We start from the raw sequence: 18,973 nt of genomic DNA on the forward strand, positions 1-18,973 counted from the left end.
AGAGGAGTGGGCTGGCTGGGCAGGCAGGGCAGGGGTGGAGCCCTTGATGACCCCTGCACATTACTCCCAGGCCTCCACCTCCACACGGCCTTCTCCCTAGAAGCATCAGGAGAGTCCTGCTGCATCTCCCACTTCCCGTGACACCTACACCCAGGGACAGTAGCTCCCCTGCACCCAGAACCGCTCCCCTGACAAACACCACCCCACCCGACCCAGGTACTCACTGAGTTAGCACTGTTAGGATTGGGCCAGGGTCTGCCAGCTCCCGGGCCCCTGAGAGAGGGAGAAAGAGATGTGGACAATGAAAAAGGCGCTGTAAACTCCAAGCGGTGGAGGCAGCAGGGGCAGAAGGAAAGGGCTGAAATCACAACAGGAAGTCCTTCCTACAGCCCTGCGGTTTAGAGCCTTCTGGCTCAGGGCAGTAATGGGTAACTTCATGGGTGGAAATCTATGAATTGCTTTAAATTATAGGTAAACTTTACAAAGTATATAAAATTAGATAAAAAATATGTGAAATTCCCTTTGCATGTGCATTTTCCTAGGAAGGGAGTCCACATTCTCACAACAGGGTTAAAAATCACAAATGCACTAGAGAACAGTGGCTACACTGTCCAGAGGTTCAACTCTTGACCCTGCCACTGAAAGCTGTGTGAGCCTGGGCAAGTTACTTCACCTCTCTGTGCCTTGGTGACCTCATCTGTAAGGGGGTTATAATAATAACCGCGTCAGGCCGGGCACGGTGGCTCACACCTGTAATCCTAGCACTGTGGGAGGCTGAGGCGGGCAGATCATTTGAGGTCAGGAGTTCGAGACCACCCTGGCCAACATGGTGAAACCCCGTCTCTACTAAAAATACAAAAATTGGCCAGGCATGTTGGCGGGAGCCTGTAACACCAGCTACTCAGGAGGCTGAGGCAGGAGAATCGCTTGAACCCGGGAGGCGGAGATTGCAGTAAGCCAAGATTGTGCCACTGTACTCCAGCCTGGACAACAGAATGTGACTCTGTCTCAAAAAAAATAAAAATAAAAATAAAAATCATCGCGTCATAGGGTAATCATGAAGATGAGGTGAGCTGATGCACGCAGCATGCCTGAACCGTGCCCGGCACACAGAGGCACTCTATGAGGCTGAGCTCTCATCACCAGGATCATCAATATCCTCACATTACCGATGAGGAGACTGAGGTCCAGAGAGGTACCAGCAATGACCCCTTATCATGAGTCTCCCAGGGTGCTGGCAGAGGGTGGGGGAAGACCTGGACTCTGAGCCACGGGCCGGGTCGTTTTTGCCTTACATGTTAATCCCGGGCATGGCGGGGCCGAGGGAGTTGGGTGGTGGTCTCATGCCGCTGCCGTAATTCTGCAACGATAACCAAGGGTCAGTCTATGAGAAGAAGGGAACCGGAGACAGGAGGAGGGAGGAGAAACAAACAGACAAAACATAGTGAGAGGGTTAGTCTGTGAAAAGGATTGATGAGAAAAAATAATACATTCTTTCAAAAACGGTGGGGCGGGTGGGAACCAAGTCACAGGGACCACAATGACAAGCCAGCACAGAGGGACAGTCACAACATTCAGTGCATTTTCAGGAGCTTTCAAGATGAAGTTCTCAAAAACATGTGGCTATCCAGCAAGCCGCTGCCCTCTCTGGGCTCCCATGATGTCATCCTGTACCTTCCCCCTGGGCTCAGGCGGGTAAGAGGGGATGGACTTGGTCTTGGAACCCATTGAGAGGCTCTGAGGTGAGGAGGCAGGGAGGCGAGGGGTGAGTGTCAATGTGGATGGGAGCAGGCACTCCTGAGAAGCCTGCCCGAGGCTGGTGCAGGCCCAGGCCTGGCACATACAGACACGCCAACCTGCCCCAGGTCCAGGTGGTAGTCCTACCCCACCCATGTGTCAGCATCAGAGGCCCTCCACAGACATGATGCTGGGAAGCCGGAGAAAACTCCATTTCTGCACTCAGGGATCATCACTATGTGTGTGTGAGTTTTTTTTTGTTTTGTTTGTTGAGATAGCGTCTTGCTCTGTTGCCTAGGCTAGAGTGCAGTAGTGCAATCATAACTCACTGCAGCCTTGACCTCCTGGGCTCAAGCAATCCTCCCACCTGAGCCTCTCATGTAGTTGGGACTACAGTCATGCACCACCATGCCCAACTAATTTTCGATGATTTTTTTTTTTTTGGAGATGAAGTCTCACTCTTGTTGCCCAGGCAGGAGAGCAGTGGCATGATCTCGGTTCACTGCAACCTCCACCTCCCAGGTTCAAGCGATTCTCATTACTCAGCCTCCCAAGTAGCTGGGATTATAGGCGCCCACGACCATGTCGGGCTGATATTTGTATTTTTAGTAGAGACGGGGTTTCACCATGTTGGCCAGGCTGGTCTCGAACTCCTTACCTCAGGATCCACCCACCTTGGCCTCCCAAAGTGCTGGGATTACAGGTGTGAGCCACCGCACCCAGCCTGCCCAGCTAATTTTTAAATTTTTTTGTAGAGATGGGGTCTCCCTTCATTGCCCAGGCTGGTCTCGAACTCCTGGGCTCAAGTGATCCTCCCACTTCAGCCTCCGAAAGTATCAGGATTACAGGCGTGAGCCACTGTGCCCAGCCAATGTTTGAGAGAAAAGTCTACACAGAACTCACGAAGTCCCAGCAGTCCAGATTCAGCTCAGGACGGCCCACTGAGGCACAGCGGGGTGGGTCAAGGCACCAGGCCTCGTATCACGCGCATCTCTTCCTATATAACCAGGCCAGTGTTGCTCGTGACCCTCTCTCCAAGTGTCATTTTCCCTGCAGTCATACATGCCTTGCTTCCCTGCTCCCTGCTTGGCAGGCTCCTACTCAGCTCCAAGAGCAGCTCCTCTAGGAAGCCCTCCTGACCCCACCCCTTCGGGCTGACTGCTCCAGCCCTGTTACTCCCACAATGCCTTCTAACCTCCCTCCCCCGCCACCATGCTACACTGGGTCTGATCATGGCCACGTGTCTGTCCATCTCCCATCTCTCCTAGTGGACTCCAAGTGCCCTTTGAAGGTGGGGCTGTGTCTTGATGATCATATACCCCCCACCCCATGCACCCAGTGGCACAGACTGGCACTCACTACGCTGGCACTGAAGCAATCAATGAAAGACCGAAGAAGGGAATGCATGAAGACCAAAGGGAGCCTGGCTGCAGCTTAAGCTCTGCCCTTGTAGGAGAACTTGAAGTAGGTTGCTGGAATTTTGATGGCAAAGGAACAGCCAGCATTCACTGCCCTTTACTGAGTGCATGACACACTTTATGTACAGTCTCTTGTTTGATCTGTGTGAAAACTCCAGGAGGCTGGGATTGTTCCCACTTCAGTCTCCCAGAAAAGGAGACTGAAGGTCTGAGGGAGAAAGTTTTGCCTCAAGTTGCAGTGAGCAAATGGACAGCTAGGATTTAAGCCTGGATCTGCCGGCCCCCCAGATTCTGTATGCTTAGCCAAGAAACTGGCGGGAGGCGGGTGGGAAGGGGGACAGAATGGGAAGATGGAGACCTGGAGCCTGACACACACAGAGCCAATATTGGGCTGATAGTGGGTTCTGCATCCAGGGATCATCTTCCAAATCTCACCACCCTGGGGCCACCTGCTCCGCTTGCTCAGCCACAGAGAGGCTTGGAGTCTGGAAGGATGTCCAGACAGGATGCAGATGATCTCAGGAGCAACACCAGGCTGGCTGACAAAGAGCCAGACCCGGAGCCAGAGAAGGCAGGCCCCGCCTCACCCTGTGGCTGCTCAGGGCATGGGCTTCAAGCAAACAGTGGCAGCCTTGTGGGAATGTGCTGGGGCCAAGCCCACTCTACCACAGGGTGAAGAGCAGAACTCGAGACCTGAGGTCAGAACACAGGAAGGCTGGCCTTGGCTTGGCTGCCTGCTGGTGACTTTGGGCAAATTACCAAATGACAATAGTGCTTATTCCATGCCCACATGTACCACAGACTGTGTGTGCACTGCCTACAATAAATCGTCACAATGACCCCTTTCCTCCACCCACTTTAGAGACCAGAAAACTGAGGTAGAGAGGAAGAATGACCCCACTGTGCAGTTGTGCGTGGCTGAGCTGGGGTGAAGCCCTGCAGCATGGCTCTGGCTTTAGACCCACAATCCCCTCTGCTGTGCTGCCTTGTCTATAAAATGGGGACAAAGAGCCCCATGTGTTTCCAACCTTGCAGGTCTCCAGTGGATCAAATGAAACAATGGTTCTGAAGTGCCCCGTAAGCCCTAGGAGGTGTGCACTGATTTGGGACGTCAGCAGCAGAACAAACACCAAAGCCCTTAATGCTACCGCAGCATTGCAGAAGCTTGGGTCTCAAAGGGCCCTTTCTAATCCCCTCTACAAATCTCAGCCTCATCTCCCCACCTGCTGCTCCAGGACAAGCAGCTTGCCACCTCCCCAGGCCTATTCTCCACTGTGTGTACAGCCCAGCTGACTAGAGAGGTCTTCCAGATGGAGTTCTTTTCCAGGACTGCAGCCGCCTCTCCCATCCAAGAGAAAGGCCTGCATCTCAGAACAAGAGCAGAAGCCTGGTATGTCTCAGCACGGAGTGGGGTGAGAGGAGATGATAAGCAGGTGCTCACTCCATAGAGCCCTCTTGACATGCAGTACGCAGCGCTGAGCTGGGAGGCTCCAAGTGCACTATCCTGCCGCTCCTGACCCTGCCTGGCCTTCAGGAGCCTCTCCAAGAACCGGCATGGCAGCTTCCTAGAGGGAGCTTCTCCACCAGTCCTGCCGCCTATAGAGGCACAGACCCTGGAGAGCCACTTGCACCTCATCATTTCATAGATGACAACTTGAAGGCCCAGAAAGCCAGAGACATGCCCAAGGCCACACAGATGTCAGGAGCGAGTAGCAGGCTGAAATCTGGTTTGCAGCGAAGTTTTCTCACATAGGGCAGGAATGCCCAGAAGTTCAGACTCAGTAGAAACGGGTTCCCTCTTTGGCCAGCTCCTGCCTGCCTGCCTGCAGCACCACGTGGCTGGAGGTGATGACGGTGAAGCTGTACAAGGGTCGGTTACCAACCAGGTATCCCTCTGCCACTGGCACCGCTCTGCAGGGGCAGGGACAGCTGGGCAGAGAGCAGGAGCCTCCAGTGCAGCCGTGGGGCTGGCCACATTCACAGGGGCCACTGTCTCAGCTTTGCACTCCGCCAGGTCCACAGTGAGAAGGGACCGAGCAGCTGTCTGGGGCTGCAGCCTGGAGGCGGTGGCTGCTGCTCCCTCCTGCCACATCCTCAGAAGGGCTTTCTAGGTGCCCACTGTTTAAACCTGGATCTGCTGGCCCCCAGAGTCTGCATTCTTAGCCAAGCATCTTGCAGGAGGCAGGTGGGAAGGGAATACACACAGTGCTGTATTTCCCTTAGGGGATAGCTCTCCTAGTCTTTAGGACTCACCTACCAGAGTGGATTTGAGGCTGTCCCAGCCATTTTCTGGGCAGCAGGGGCCTGGCCATCTCATGCAGGACCACCAGAGAAAGTTCCTCAAGGGGCCCTTTTCCTTCCTCACCAGCTCGGGGTGCTCAGGACCAGGATTAATGACCCACCCATCTCTTTTGGGGGCCTCTGCTCAGTGGCACTGAGCTTGGACTGGCCCTGGATCAGCCCCAGGAGATGGGGGTGGCATAGGATTGTCCCAGGGGCTGTGGATTCTCCTTCATCTGAACTCTCAAATGCAGACAAACCAGGATAATGACCTGATTCTACTCTGTCCTGGCTCCAGCCCCAGCCTGAATACCAGAAACAACAACAAGTCGGTGGCTCTCAGAATTGGCACCCCGGGGTCTGGGAGCCACCGCACTTCTGGTGGGGGCTGGCATTCTCTCTACTAAGTCCAACCAGGAGCCCCTCAGTTTTAGCTTCGTCCTATTAGAATTCACTTTTGAAACACTAGGATAAGACGTTACTACCTGATACTGACATACATAAAACTTTTTAGAAAGAAGAGTTCTAAGTGGAAGTACTATCTCCTTTCTGGCACTGGCACTTTACAAAACCAGAGTAAAATCTGTCTGAAGCACTGATGACAAAGGACAGGGTGATACCTGCGTTGCTGGTTCCTGTGAGACATTTAGGCTGACATGTGACACAGACTCACAAAATGCAATGTCACTCCCTTCGGTTTTGAAATAAAGTAGCCCTATGACCGACCACGCTGTACCTATTCTTTGTTCAGAAAGTTCTGGAGTGGTCACTGGCTAAAAGCAATCTAATTCCCGGCTGTGAATCACATGCCGATGGTCTCCCACCTTTGAGCCTGGTCTCAGCACAGCACTGTGTGTGTTGTGGTGCTTACTTTATGCTGAAGGGGCTGGCCGCCCTTCCTGACAGCCCGGGCTGTGGCAGTAGGCAGGGCTCCCTCCCACAAGCTCAGGGCCTGCGGGAAGGGGAAGGGATCCACAGGACACCATGTGGGGACTTCAAGTAACATTTCACAGCTGCTATTTCGCCCACCCTCCAGTAGCCCCATGAGGCCATCACTTGCTGCCCGTTTTGCAGATGACAGACTGGAGGCCCAGCCAGGCTGAGCTGCTGTCAGGACTGTGCTTTCCAGAACTAAGTTCTGGGCTTGTCCCTGTCCTGTCCACAGGGCATCATCCTCAGGGGAGAGACAGAAATGGCCTAGGGAACAGGGAGAGTCTGCCCTCTCCCTACCCTCCACCTCAGAGTCCCAAACCACCAGGCTCTGCCGGGCCCAAGATGAGCCCGTAGGTGACCACAGACCCTGTAATCCATCCTGCACCATCAACCTTGTCTGGGCCCAGTGCTACATCAATGCCAGGCTTTCCTGACCCCAGTGATGGGCCAGTGCAGACACCCTGGGTTTCTTCAAGGGACGTTTGGCTCTGGGATTTAATACTCACCCTACCCAGAGGAGTATAGGAAACATGGGTGAAGCACTTTAGGGTCTCCACATTGATAAAGTAAAATAAAGAGCAGGAGATATGCTTCCAGAGTTCCTGAGGTTGGCAAGGGTGTGTAACATAAATAAAGACGGGTGAGCCTCTCTCCCTCCCGCTGGAGACACTCCTAGGGTCTAAGGGGAGCTCTACCCCTTGTACACTGCTTGGGTGAGGCCAGGAGAGTCTCACTGCAGGGCCTCAGCCGCTGGGACCCTCACTTCTTTAAAGTGTGCCAAAGAGTGTGCTGGACTACGGGTCAGGGGCAGACATGATGAGACATCCACCACACCCAGAGGAAGTCCTGAACTGCCAGCACACCCTGCTGCTCTCAAATAGCCTGACATCTGTTCCCAGCCTTTAGAATCTCAGTGTTACGATGGTCCTAACAAACTGTTAATGACTTTGCCAGAAAAAGAGAAAGAAGAAGAAATTAAAAGCAATCACCAAACCCAAGCAACTAGAGGTCTTAACATTGGTTTTCAGTCCCTAAAGTTGGAAAACACAAATAGCCTCCTTAGCGGGAGCACCCTGTGGCCAGCATCACATTGAGAACTTGACCTGGCCAGGCACGGTGGCTCACGCCTATAATCCCAGCACTTTGGGAGGCTGAGGTCGGGGGATCACTTGAGCCCAGGAGTTCAAGACCAGTCTGGGCAACATGGCAAGACCCTGTCTCTACTAAAAATACAAAAATTAGCCAGGCGTGGTGGTGGGAGCCTGTAGTCCCAGCTACTTGGGAGACTGAGGATGTGGTGAGCAGAGATGATGCCACTGCACTCCAGCCTGGGTGACAGAGTAAACCCTCAAAAAAATAAAATAAAGAATAAAAAACAATAAAACTTTTTTTATTTTTTAAAAAATTTAAAAAAACTTTTAATAAAAAATATTTTAACTTTTAAAAAATAAAAATAAAATTTGATTCCTGTTAAAAGAAAAAAAAAAAGGGAACTGGACACTGGACCCTGCCCCTTCCAACAGCCCTCCAGGTCAGGCACAGTTCTTATTCCCATTTTACAGATGCAGCCGCTGAGCCTCTGAGGATCCATGGGCTGGGCGGTGGCATTCGATTTTCCCTCCTCAGATTCCATCCTCCTGAGTCACACAGATCCCATGACATCTGACAATCCAAGGCCACTGCTGATTTCTACACCAATAAAATGTGACTGCTGTGTGGCTTAGGCTGTGGGGAGGGAGAGCTGTATCTGACTCAGGAGAGGGGAAGCTCCGCTCCTACTCTGCCCCTTGCCCCCTTCCCTAGGCAGGCAGCCCTGCAGAGGTCAGCTCCAGGCGGCTGCCAGGCAGGAAGGGGCCACTCTGGCAGCTTAAAAGGAGCTAGCAGAAACGCGAACTTTGGAGGATTTGAGGAAGGAACACAACCAGAATATTGGAGCTGCAACTGCTGTGGGCTTGCTTCCTTTTAGGATTATGGGGCTGGCAGAAGACAAGGACCTCCCTAAAATCTTTCAACACCACAGATGTTCCAACCACCACAGAGAAGAAAGCGGTGGCTTGGGCTTGCTGTAAATACAATTCTGGGATGGAGCAGAGGGCTGTGGTTCTGTGGGGCGGATTCTGGGATGGAGCAGAGGGCTGTGGTTCTGTGGGGCGGATTCTGGGATGGAGCAGAGGGCTGTGGTTCTGTGGGGCAGACGCCTCTCCCTACAAAAGGGAGCACGTGTGGGCGGGAATGGGGGGGGGCACTACTCCACCCTCAGGGGACCCAGAAACCAGTGCAGGGGGCCCAGAGCCTGAACACCTGCACGCAACCAAGGGAGTGACCAGTGCAGCAGACTCCAGGCAGAACAGAAAAGAAGGGAAAGAACACCTGAGAACAAGCCCCTTGCCTTATTCAGACTTCCAGCTTCCTTTAGTTAGGGGCTAGAGAATTCCCAAGGTGGAACATCGCGAACGCTCTGCCACGGCTACTATAGGAAACAGAACCACGTGCAAACACCCAGAGGGCTGGGGGTAAGCAGTGAGATGGTTCCACAGCAGAACACCTGTCAGCGCCAACACCTGTTGCTTGGACACCCCTACCTGGGGGAGCAGAGCTGGCCACGAGGGGCAACGACTTTGTTGTGACCGTAAGAGGTATGTGAGGGCACCTGAAATGCTTTCTTCCAATGGCTTATAAACTGCCCTTTGTGGCAGCGGAGCCCTCTGGTCAAAGAATCCCGGCTGAAGTGGGTGCTGGGGTCCTGCCAGCGTGGCCCCCTCCCACCAGAGAATCGCGGACACAGTCCTCATTTAACAGGTGGGGAAACTGAGGCCTGCTGGGGCCCACAGAGGTCAAAGTGATTCATCCAAGGACAGACACATGCTAAGTCGCAGGCAGAGCTAGGAAGGCCACTCATCTGCGCCGCCTCTGGGACACAACCGATGGTGGCCCTAAGCCATCTCAAGTCTACCTCACCCAGGGGAGGCAGCTCTGGGGTTCAGGAGCTCCCTGCCCTTCTTCAGACCCCATGATAGGCTACCGCACCCCAAAAGGGTCTGCCAACTAGAAGGCCTCAGCTGTCCCCTTTTTCCTAGCTCCCTGGTGGGGGCCCTCAACTCTGCCTGCCATCTGCAAGGGGCTGCCCTGGGCAGCGCGTGAAGCCAGCCTGCCACAGGAAGCGGACAGGAGCAGGGGATGCGGCCATGCCCTTCCTCTCACCCCTGCGAACTGAGAGATGTGGGAGACTGACAGAGCATGGAAACAGGAGAGAAGGCGGGTGCACACAGATGGCCAGGGAGACGGACGGACAGACAGGCGGTGGTTACCTGTGGGCCGGGACCCATGGGCCCCATGCCTCGGGGAGGGTTCATTCTCTGCATTGATCCTCCCATGTTGGGGTGGCCTGCGTGAGAGAGGAGGCGCGTCATGGGATGGCAGGAGTGGAGGGAGGAGGAGCCCCTCCTGGCATCCCCAGCCACCCTAGGCCCACCCTGCCCTCTCTACCTTGTTGTCGTGTGGGATCCATAGAATTGGGCAGCAATGGCTGTGTCCCAGGAACTCCTCCCGGAGGCTGAAAGAGATGCAAGACACAAGCTGAGGAGCTGCTCCGGAGCTGCTGGCCATGGGGACAGGCATCTACCTGTCCCACCCAGTGCCCCGTGTGATCACGTGGAGCCACTCATGGCCTCCCTGAGACTTCTGCTGCCTGCCAGTGGGAGAAGGTTACCCCGGGCCTACCAGTCAGCTGGAAGTGGTGTTAGCTATAACTGTGGCGTTGTTTTGGGGGCTCTGTGGGAGGGAAACCACCGCCTCATCCTGCTGTCTTGGGGTAGGGGGTCTGTGTACCTATCAGAGCTCTGAAGTGAGGCAGGAGACCAAGTTCTCTAGGTCTTGCTCTGGCTGTAGCACCAACCACCTTCCTCTCAGAGGCAGCAGTGCCCACTCCCTCCTTCTGCCCAAACCCCATCTTGCCTTTGTCTCACAGACACATACCTCATTTTAGCTCTACTTCCAAATTACGGGGACTGAGACACCCACTACCTAAAATCCTATCGCTGTGGGAAGCCCCATTTAAAGGGGAAAAGAGGATGAGGAGGCTTTTAGGATTGAGATGGGGAAACTGAGGTCACAGGCCTGCGGGCTCCCAGTCACAGGTTGCAGAGCCAAGTGAGCACCCAGGTCACATCCCATCAGCTTCTACAATAGGAAATGCCACCCAGCCCCGGGGCGGGACAGGTGGCCACTAGGAGAGGGACAGGTGGCCACTAGGAGAGGGGCAGGGGTACTAGACGAGAACCCGGCTCCAGAGCTGGGGCCATCGGCGGTGCTGGTGTGGTTACTAATGAGAAGGTAAACACGGGGGCCACGGGTTTCCTGGGTGAACACTTGCCCCACCCGCTGTGAAACCCTATGAAAAGCAATTTACTTGAGACTGAAGTTATTTCAGCTGCAACTGGAAAAAGAGAGTAGGAGTTGCTGGGGGGAAGTTTGCTTCTAGGACCTCATCCCTTAGGGCTTTATAAATATGAGCTTTTGCCTTCGAGAGGAAAAGCCTTTTGGCTGGTCATCTTTCCTCATCTGCAGGTGTCAGTGCTGATCAAAGGCTGGGCATCTGTGACAGGGGTCTGTCCTCAAGGGCCCCCAGCCCAGGCTGTGCTGCTGTGGGGGAGGCTGAGTGGGGAGCTCTCCTGCCTTGAGCTCAATAGTGAACTTCAAACCGGTTTTGGAACGAGGTGGTGGAAAGCGAAGGGACAGACTGTTCACTGATTTCCCTAGCTTCAGAATGGAACAGGGGAGCGGGTATGTGTGGTTAAGGTACGAGAGGATTGTGTGAGGGCATAGGGAGTATCTGATGTTCACGAAGTAGAATTGGTATTTGTTTTTGTTTTTTTTTTAGTTTTTGTTTTTTTTTTTTTTTAAGACAGGGTCGCTTGCTCTGTTGCCCAGGTTGGAATGCAGTAGTGTGATCACAGCTCACTGCAGCCTCGAACTCCCAGGTTCAAGCAATCCTCCTGCCTCAGCCATCCCAAGAGCTGGGACTACAGGCACGCGCTGTCACACCCGGCTAATTTTTAAATTTTTTGTATTGATGGGGTCTCACTATGTTGCCTGGGCTCGTATCAAACTCCTAGGCTCAAGTGATCCTCCTGCCTCAGCCTCCCAAAATGCTGGGATTACAGGTGTGAGCCTCCGCACCTGGCCTACAAAGTGGCATTTAGCACCTGCTGTTTCCGTCTGCCTGGGGGTGCTCAGCGTCTGTCTTTCCAATCCCTGGATTTTTAGTTGTTCCGGCCTCTCACTTTCTCCCAGCCCTGCTTCCTGGCCCCAGGTTCCCTAGCTCTGAATCACTTGGCTGGTTTGCGTCTGCCCACTGGGGGTTTGTGGTTTTTATAGAGTCCTGGTGACTCAGGAAGGCCTGCCTCTAAGGCTGTCTGGACTGGGGGATCCCAGGACATGGAGGTGGATGGGGGACCTTCAGGGTCATGAGTCACCCAGTGCAGGACCACCCCATCCAACCCAGACAGTGCAGCCATGGGGCTTGGCAGTCACTCTCTCCAGGTAGCCCAATGCTGACCACCAATTCTTGGAGAAAGCTCCTCCTTGGATTCCTCTAACCCTCCTATGTGTCGGAACTCCAGGAGCAAAGCTGGGCTGTTCAGAGGCTCAGAGGGGACCTGGAGGTCGCGTCCCTCACTGAGGTGACCCTGAGACAGGGACAGACAGTCTGGGCCTCTTCTATCAGGGGAAGAAGGTGTGCAATGACCAAGGAAAGGGGTCTCAAACTAAGAGGGCTGAAGCCCTCAAACTTAAGGAGGAAAAACAACGGCTCATATATGGGACCATAATTACACGCTGTGCACACACCCCTGGGGCCTACAGGGGAGCGAGTTGCTCTGGGGCTTCTGGACGGAGGCCAGCTCTTCTCCTACAGCACTGCATGTGGGGCAAGGCACAGGAAGCATCTGCCCAGGAAACGGACAAATCCCTGCTGCATCCGCATGCTCTCTCACCTGCCCCGCCAGCACAGCCAGCCTGCCAGGTGGGACCTCTGCCGAGATGTGTGTGGGAGAGCTCTCTGACAACCCTGGATTCCAGCCACTCTCTCCTAAACCCGGCTGAACTCCACTGTCACCACCCATCCAATCACCCGCACTTGAAAAAACAGCAACTCTCTATGCACAGCCTCTAGCCAGGGAGGCAGATGGGAGGCAGGCCTCGTAAGACCCTGAGGCCACATCACTGACCCTTTGCTTCTTGTTTCCCTAAGGGCCCTTTTCACTCCCCTCACCCAAAAGGCACATTCATAATGGCCTGTGAGCCCCAGCAAGTCCTCTAGTCTCGGCTCCCTTTACCCGTCACAGGAGAGAACTGAGCTAACTCGGGTGGCACAGGGCTTCTGTTAACTGGCAGACCCAACGAGGGCACTCTTCAAGAAAGCCCCAGGGTCAATACCTGTGGAAGGGGCACATCCCTCTTTGGAGGATAGAAATTTCTTGAGGTCACAGGAAACTGGAAAACCAGTGTGGATTTCTTTTTTTATCTTTTTTCTTCTTTTTTTTTGAGGCGGAGTCTCGCTCTGTCACCCAAGCTGGAGTGCAATGGCGCAATCTCGGCTCACTGCAGCCTCCGACTCCTAGGTCCCAGCGATTCTCCTGCCTCAGCCTCCTGGGTAGCTGGGATTACAGGCACACGCCAGCATGCCTGGCTAATTTTTGGATTTTTAGTAGAGACAGGGTTTCACCATGTTGGCCAGGCCAGTCTCGAACTCCTGATCAAGTGATCCACCCGCCTGAGCCTCCCAAAGTGCTAGCATTATAAGCGTGAGTCACTGCGCCCAGCCCCAGTGTAGATTTCTATTGCGGGGGGGCGGGGGGGGGGGTGGTTGGCAGGGAGGTTGGGAAAACTGGTGTGTAATACAAAGTACAGATGATGGATTTATCCCCCATTTGCTCTTGAGTGGTTGCTCATGCTTAGTTGCTGAGTAGAAATATACACACCCCTCTCCATATCCTTTAATTGCCAGAAGAAGGGCCACCACAATTATGATAAGGAAGTAGCTCCTTTCTTCCTGGCAGAGGCCAGTTTGGACCAAGAAGAGCTCCTGGGTGGGAAGGCTGCTGCTGGCGCCCCTATGTGCCACGGCAAAGCAGGCCCAGCGGTGATGGGTTAAAAACACAGATGGGGGCAGGAATCTTACATCTGTGAAAACTGAGGAAAGGGGTGGAGTAGAGTACAATTAGCACTGGGCTGGAACCAAGATCAACTCCAGCCCAGCTCACTTTGGGAAGTCACTCCTCCACTCTGACCTTTTGTTTCCTCATCTGTGATGTATCCAGGGATCCCTTCTTTTGCTCAAAAAGCTGGGTCTCTAATTCCTCTTGTCCAAATTTGTCCCCTTCATGTCAGAGAAAATAGAAAATGAAGGACTTTTGGAGAGAAAAAAAAACAAAATAAAAAGGTGGGAACCCGATAGGCAATTTAGCATTAAAGCTGGAGAGCTGGCCAGGCACGGTGGCTCACGCCTGTAATCCCAACACTGTGGGAGGCCAAGGCAGGCAGATCTCATGAAGTCAGGAGTTTGAGACCAGCTGGCCAACATGGTGAAAGCCTGTCTCTATTATAAATACAAAAATTAGCCGGGCATGGTGGCGCACACCTGTAATCCCAGTTACTTGGGTGGCTGAGGCAGGAGAACTGCTTGAACCCAGGAGGCGGACGGAGGTTGCAGTGAGCAGAGATTGCACCACTGCACTCCAGCCTGGGAGACAGAGCGAGACTCCGGTTAAAAAAAAAAAAAAGACAATTGGAGACCCCTGGTAATGAGCATCTCTCCATAGTCCCTGCATCACCTCACTCAGGAGCCTTCTTGCAGAGCCCTGAGAATGAAAAGCATCACACTCAGACAATGCTAATTTAGCTGGTGACTAAACTCCCAGTTCAAAGGCAACAAGGGCTGGATGTGCTGGCGCTTCTGTCAGATTTTTTTGAAGGGCTTTTGCAAAGTCACCGAAATAATTCTGTTTTAAAAAATTGGGGCATAAAATTTCCCTGATGTTTCTCGAAAAGTTTCTTTTAAGTCTGTCTATCCTCAAAAGAGGCATCTATTCATATTTACCTCTGCAACTCCTCTCCTGCCCTGAACCAGGGAGGGTGGCATGGGGTCTGATTTCTCCAGACCACCTAGAATTGCCAACCCTAATGGGCCAGCGTAAGGCATATGACCCCAGGCAAAAATCCCTCCCCGTAATCAGACCCCTTTTCTAATTACACGAACAAATCCTTTCTTGTTTTGAGTTGGGTCTGGGAAGCAGGCAGACATTGCTGAAAAACTCACAAATCTCCTGCTCTGCTGCATCCAGGCTCCTGATCTAAGCATTCCTACGGGCCATTTCCCCCCCTAATAGCAGGATTATATTTACCAGCCTTGGCAATTCTCAAAAGCTTCCAGGAAAAAATGCACATTGTCAATTAGCTTCATTAAGGAGGAAGACCCTCTTCCAAGAAGGGGGTAGAAGGGAGGGGCAGGGCATTACCATCTTCTCTAGAATAGCCGAAACCCTGCAATCCCAGATGCGCCTTAGCTCCATCTGCTGCCACCTTCTGAACTCTGGAATGGGCTGTCCAAAGGGCCATCTGGAGAGGCAGGTGAACTGCCGCACCATGGGCACAGCGGGGACATGGGGCCCTCTCTGGGGAACAGCTAGTAAGCTACCAGCCACGTTAAACCTGCCCCTCCACCCCTCAATCCTTTCCCTCAACTTTCATTTTGTGTCAAAGTCCACCTAGGGCCAAGGATGGCTGAGGGAGGGGAGAGAGAACATGAAAAGGTACAGTACCTGGTTTCCCATTCTGATCGGGGGCCTGGGGCCGCCTGCGTATCGCGGTGACATAAAAGGCTGCAATTATAGGTAATTAGTTCAATGACAGCCTGCCCTACTGCACAGTGACAAACACAAATGCTCTCCACTCCACAAAGTCCAGTTTTGTTATAACTAGTGATCTTTTAAGTTCTTTCTCCTGCTAGCCTCTTCCCTTTGACAGCAAAACTTCCTTTGGGCAGAGGGAACAATAGATCCACACAACAAATGTGTCTCTTGACTCCACATTTGTTCGTGGAGATCTACTCTGGGTGGGAAGGGCAGCGGCTGGGACTTTGCATAAGAAACGAAAAACAGTTAAATCAACGCAGGGCGGAGGAGGAAACCTCTGCTCTCGGTAAGGGCAAATGAAAGGGTAAGAAGGACTGATACGTAACATCTTAAGGGCCTGCAGACAAAGCTGGACACACGAGCACGCACACAGGCACACGCACACAGAAACCACCAGCAGGGACAGAGAGGGGAGCAAGGACTGGGGGGGAAACGCCAAGGAGACAGCGGGCTCCCTAACTTAATGCAGGGGAATGGCAGGAAAGCTTTCTCAGCAGCACGAGTGCACAAAGAAAAGGCTCGGGATGCAGCTTCGGTTACAAACAAATGGTGAACCAAACTCAAAACCAAACCAAAAGTGAGAGAGGAAAAAACAAAAACGCAAAGGCAGCTGACAAGGTCACAGAAATATATATTTTTTCCTTTTGGTTTCGTATCCAAGCTGGGTGTGATATCCGAGGACTGAAGACTATCTTTAGAAAAAAGAAATTTCTAAAAAAATTTAATTTGTCAATAAAGACTCGCAGGCAGTGGCTAGAGCACATTTTGATTTTTGTTTTTCCTCTGCGGGCTCTCTGCTTCCTCCGCGCCCCGCGTCCCCGGCGGGCGGGAGCGCCACGGTGCGTTTACCTGACTGTGGGGTCCCATCATGCTGCTAGGATTGTGAGGTGGAGGCTGTGCGTGCGGCGAGGGCTGTGACCCCGGAGGACCCTGTGAGGCCAGACAGTAGAGGCAGGTTATAGATCACAGCACATGGAGAAGCGCAGAAGCAGCTTAAAAGAACAAAAATTAAACCAAAACGAAGGGTGGGCGGCGGGCGTGCGGGGGGGTGGGCTCTGGTTGGTGGGAGGTGGTGGAGCTGCTGCTTTGGTCGCCGGCTCAACGGTGTAAAACGGCGAGCGGGAGCGAGAGAAGCTGATAAATACATTCACAGGGGGTTGAAAGAACAAAAAATGAAGCACCTCTGTCAAAGCACACGGGAGTACAGTCCTGGACACAGCCTACCCTTGGAGCGGAGTTTGCCATGTTAAATACGTTGGTTGAGACGGGCTCAGAGGGAGTACAATGATGCACAGACACAGGGACCCAGGTGCAAAGCACGTAGGTGCCGCTTGCACGGGAGGTGGGGAAAGATCGGGAAGGGCCCTGCCCTCAAGGAGCTCACAGTCTGGGGGACAGTGACACGGCTATGGGTGACTCGAGGCAGTACTGATCAAGTGTCAGGGAGAGGCCCAGGCGACGGGTTTCCTGGGGGCAGGAGGGCCGGGGGCACCGACAGATAAACAACAGAGGCAAGAGGAGCAAGGGGCACCACAGATGTAACACACAGGGAGTGAGGGGACAGTGAGTGAGGGCCACACGGTGTGGGCAGCACAGACTCGCACACCGTGAATTCACCTGCACTTCAAAGCAGCCCTGTGAGGCGGGGTTTCTCATTCCAATTTTTACTGATGAGGAATCTAAGTCTCGAGGGATGAAGGAACTTGGCCATGGCCATAAAACTGGTCAGTGGCAGAGCTGGGATGAGAAGCCCCATGGGTCCAAGGCCCATCTCCAGCCCTGAAACCCAAGAGTTCCGGTGCAGAGCTGGGGACAGGGGGAAGTGCATGAAGGGTGGGGACCCCGGACTGCTGGGCGACTGGGTGGGCTATCCTTTTCATACCTCAGTTCCAAGCTGACCCCCACCCCCACCGCCTCAACCCTGGGCTATGCTGACCTCGACCCCCCTACCCCGCCCCAGAAGACATGGGCAGATGAATTCACTTCAACCTTGGGGTTACAAACTATGGGTAGAAACTCACTCAGCAATTCAGCAAGCTGCAATAATTATCTCTTAAAAATCCGAGGTAATAAAAAAAAAAGTCAGAGAGCTTTGTGTATTTTAAGGCAGGTGTCTTTCATGAACCCCGGTTTTGTGTGTAAATATTCATGTGTGTGTAGACTGGGTCACACCACCAAAGGACTCTCCTACCATGGGTCACAGTCAGTAAGCGCGGAGGGCTGCCTCGGAAGCACGTTCCAGCCCACCCAGCGTGGGATGCTGATGCCAGGGATGAGGAGACAGGCCTCCATTCGCTCTTCCCCACCCATGACTGTGCTGTTTTTTAGAGGTTGGTTTTTAGAAAAATTCAAAATGTGCACAGGGGGTGAGTGTGGCTAAATTAAAAAGAGAGAGGAGCTGCCTAGGTAGGGTTTCCCCCTTGGCCTTCTCCTGCAGAGCCAGGCTGCCAGCCGCCTGCCCACTGGGGAGGAGGGGCGTGGGCCCACAGAGAAGAGGTGTGCAGAGAACATCGCAGGGGGCTGTACAAGAACCCGAGGGCGCCGCCGCTGTGAGGCCTGGGAGTTTCTTGGCCAAGCGAGGAGCTGCTCACTTCCGGAAAGCTCCGAGGAGCAGATGTTCCCCTACCTGCCACGCTACTAATTTCAACAAGTGTGTGTCTTTCTAGCGGCTGCCAGCAACGGCATGGTTTGTTACCATGAGCAATTTTCTTAATTAACAGACATTAATTAGCCATTTAGCAATTTTGCAAGCATTTGTTTAGCGGCTTTCCCAAACATGAATACCACTGTGATAATGGCACTGATTAGAGGGTCCCCTAATTAACAGTACAGGGAAGGAAAATTGAAATCACATAAATTAAAAAGGGAGGGGAGTTAATGAAGGCGGGACATATTTGCACCTGCAAGTCTTTTGTACCACGTAACTTGGGTGTAATGTAAACAAAACAAGATAATTTGAAGCCAACCCCCAAAAAAAGAAATATGAAAAGAACAGAGGAGGAAGGTTCAAGGGTAAGGTCCAGTTGCCAAGAGGGGGCAAAAGGCCTTCTGTTGGTTCCTCGGCTCTTGGCAAGAAGGGAGTGCCTCCTCCCTCGCGTCCTTCCCTTCCTGGTAACTGAGTGCTTCCTCAGGGCGAGCAGTGGGGCTCTGGGCAAGCCCCTCACACCTGTGTGCCCAGTGGTCAGGGAGGGCAGGAGGCTGGCTCACTGACAGATTAGAGAAAACAGAAGTGAAGCACCCAAGGGCGTGTGGCGCACACGGTGGGGCCTCAATCTACGGCAGCCTTTACAAAGGACCAGTGCTCCAACCGGGGTCTGCTGAGATCCAGACAGCAAGGCTGGCAGGTGTGCCTCCTCTGCGCCTCCCTCAGAAGCGCCCCTGGGGGACTCTGGAGACCAGTCCCTGGATAAGCAGAGGTGGCACAAGCTTGCTCTTGGCGCAGCTGCCTCAAGAAAAAAAGCTGACAAGCAGTAAGGATGGAGCCAGGCTGGTCAGGGAGGCCCCAGCCCAGCCCCACAACCTCTCTGGCTCATGGGGAACAAGCTGTTAAATCTGGGGCGGGAAGAGCAGCTAGAAGTCTTCCCTCTGACTTGGAGCTAGGGGTTGGAATGATGAGGACCAGGAATCTTGGCCCAGGCCTGCCAGTCACTCAGGGAGAAAAATGATACCACATTCTTGACAGAGGCCAAGCTA

General features: G+C 53.3%; 1 protein-coding gene across 17 annotated transcripts in view, besides 5 other annotated features; it reads right to left on the minus strand.

Moving 5' to 3' along the window:
• SSBP3 (single stranded DNA binding protein 3) overlaps positions 1-18,973 on the minus strand; it is a 188,059-nt gene that overhangs the window by 16,508 nt on the left and 152,578 nt on the right. For 7 of the 17 annotated variants that reach the window (NM_001394365.1, NM_001394366.1, NM_001394367.1 and 4 more), the window contains 5 exons: positions 15,188-15,247; positions 9,855-9,921; positions 9,677-9,753; positions 1,296-1,360; positions 225-273 (listed from right to left, as the gene is read on the minus strand). In NM_001394365.1, coding sequence (NP_001381294.1) covers positions 225-273; positions 1,296-1,360; positions 9,677-9,753; positions 9,855-9,921; positions 15,188-15,247 — 318 coding nt within the window. Of the gene's footprint in view, positions 1-224; positions 274-1,295; positions 1,385-9,676; positions 9,754-9,854; positions 9,922-15,187; positions 15,248-16,129; positions 16,211-18,973 lie in introns of all 17 variants that reach the window. The other 10 variants (NM_001394364.1, NM_145716.4, XM_017000897.3 and 7 more) reach the window with 5 other exon arrangements.
• Positions 4,535-4,697: a silencer, noted in NCBI's record as "fragment chr1:54712147-54712309 (GRCh37/hg19 assembly coordinates)". NCBI's record gives its function as "represses an EF-1alpha promoter that drives an FKBP-Casp9 reporter gene in an ReSE screen in K562 erythroleukemia cells {active_cell/tissue: K562}" and the evidence as "EXISTENCE:reporter gene assay evidence [ECO:0000049][PMID:32094911]".
• Positions 6,489-6,988: an enhancer, noted in NCBI's record as "H3K4me1 hESC enhancer chr1:54714101-54714600 (GRCh37/hg19 assembly coordinates)". NCBI's record gives its function as "activates a minimal SCP1, AML or CMV promoter by ChIP-STARR-seq in naive H9 embryonic stem cells {active_cell/tissue: H9 hESC(naive)}" and the evidence as "EXISTENCE:reporter gene assay evidence [ECO:0000049][PMID:30033119]".
• Positions 7,656-8,319: an enhancer, noted in NCBI's record as "H3K27ac-H3K4me1 hESC enhancer chr1:54715268-54715931 (GRCh37/hg19 assembly coordinates)". NCBI's record gives its function as "activates a minimal SCP1, AML or CMV promoter by ChIP-STARR-seq in naive H9 embryonic stem cells {active_cell/tissue: H9 hESC(naive)}" and the evidence as "EXISTENCE:reporter gene assay evidence [ECO:0000049][PMID:30033119]".
• Positions 8,983-9,645: an enhancer, noted in NCBI's record as "H3K27ac-H3K4me1 hESC enhancer chr1:54716595-54717257 (GRCh37/hg19 assembly coordinates)". NCBI's record gives its function as "activates a minimal SCP1, AML or CMV promoter by ChIP-STARR-seq in naive and primed H9 embryonic stem cells {active_cell/tissue: H9 hESC(naive and primed)}" and the evidence as "EXISTENCE:reporter gene assay evidence [ECO:0000049][PMID:30033119]".
• Positions 9,646-10,307: an enhancer, noted in NCBI's record as "H3K27ac-H3K4me1 hESC enhancer chr1:54717258-54717919 (GRCh37/hg19 assembly coordinates)". NCBI's record gives its function as "activates a minimal SCP1, AML or CMV promoter by ChIP-STARR-seq in primed H9 embryonic stem cells {active_cell/tissue: H9 hESC(primed)}" and the evidence as "EXISTENCE:reporter gene assay evidence [ECO:0000049][PMID:30033119]".

Source organism: Homo sapiens, chromosome 1 (assembly GCF_000001405.40).
Source record: "Homo sapiens chromosome 1, GRCh38.p14 Primary Assembly".
Classification (NCBI taxonomy): Eukaryota; Metazoa; Chordata; class Mammalia; order Primates; family Hominidae; genus Homo; species Homo sapiens.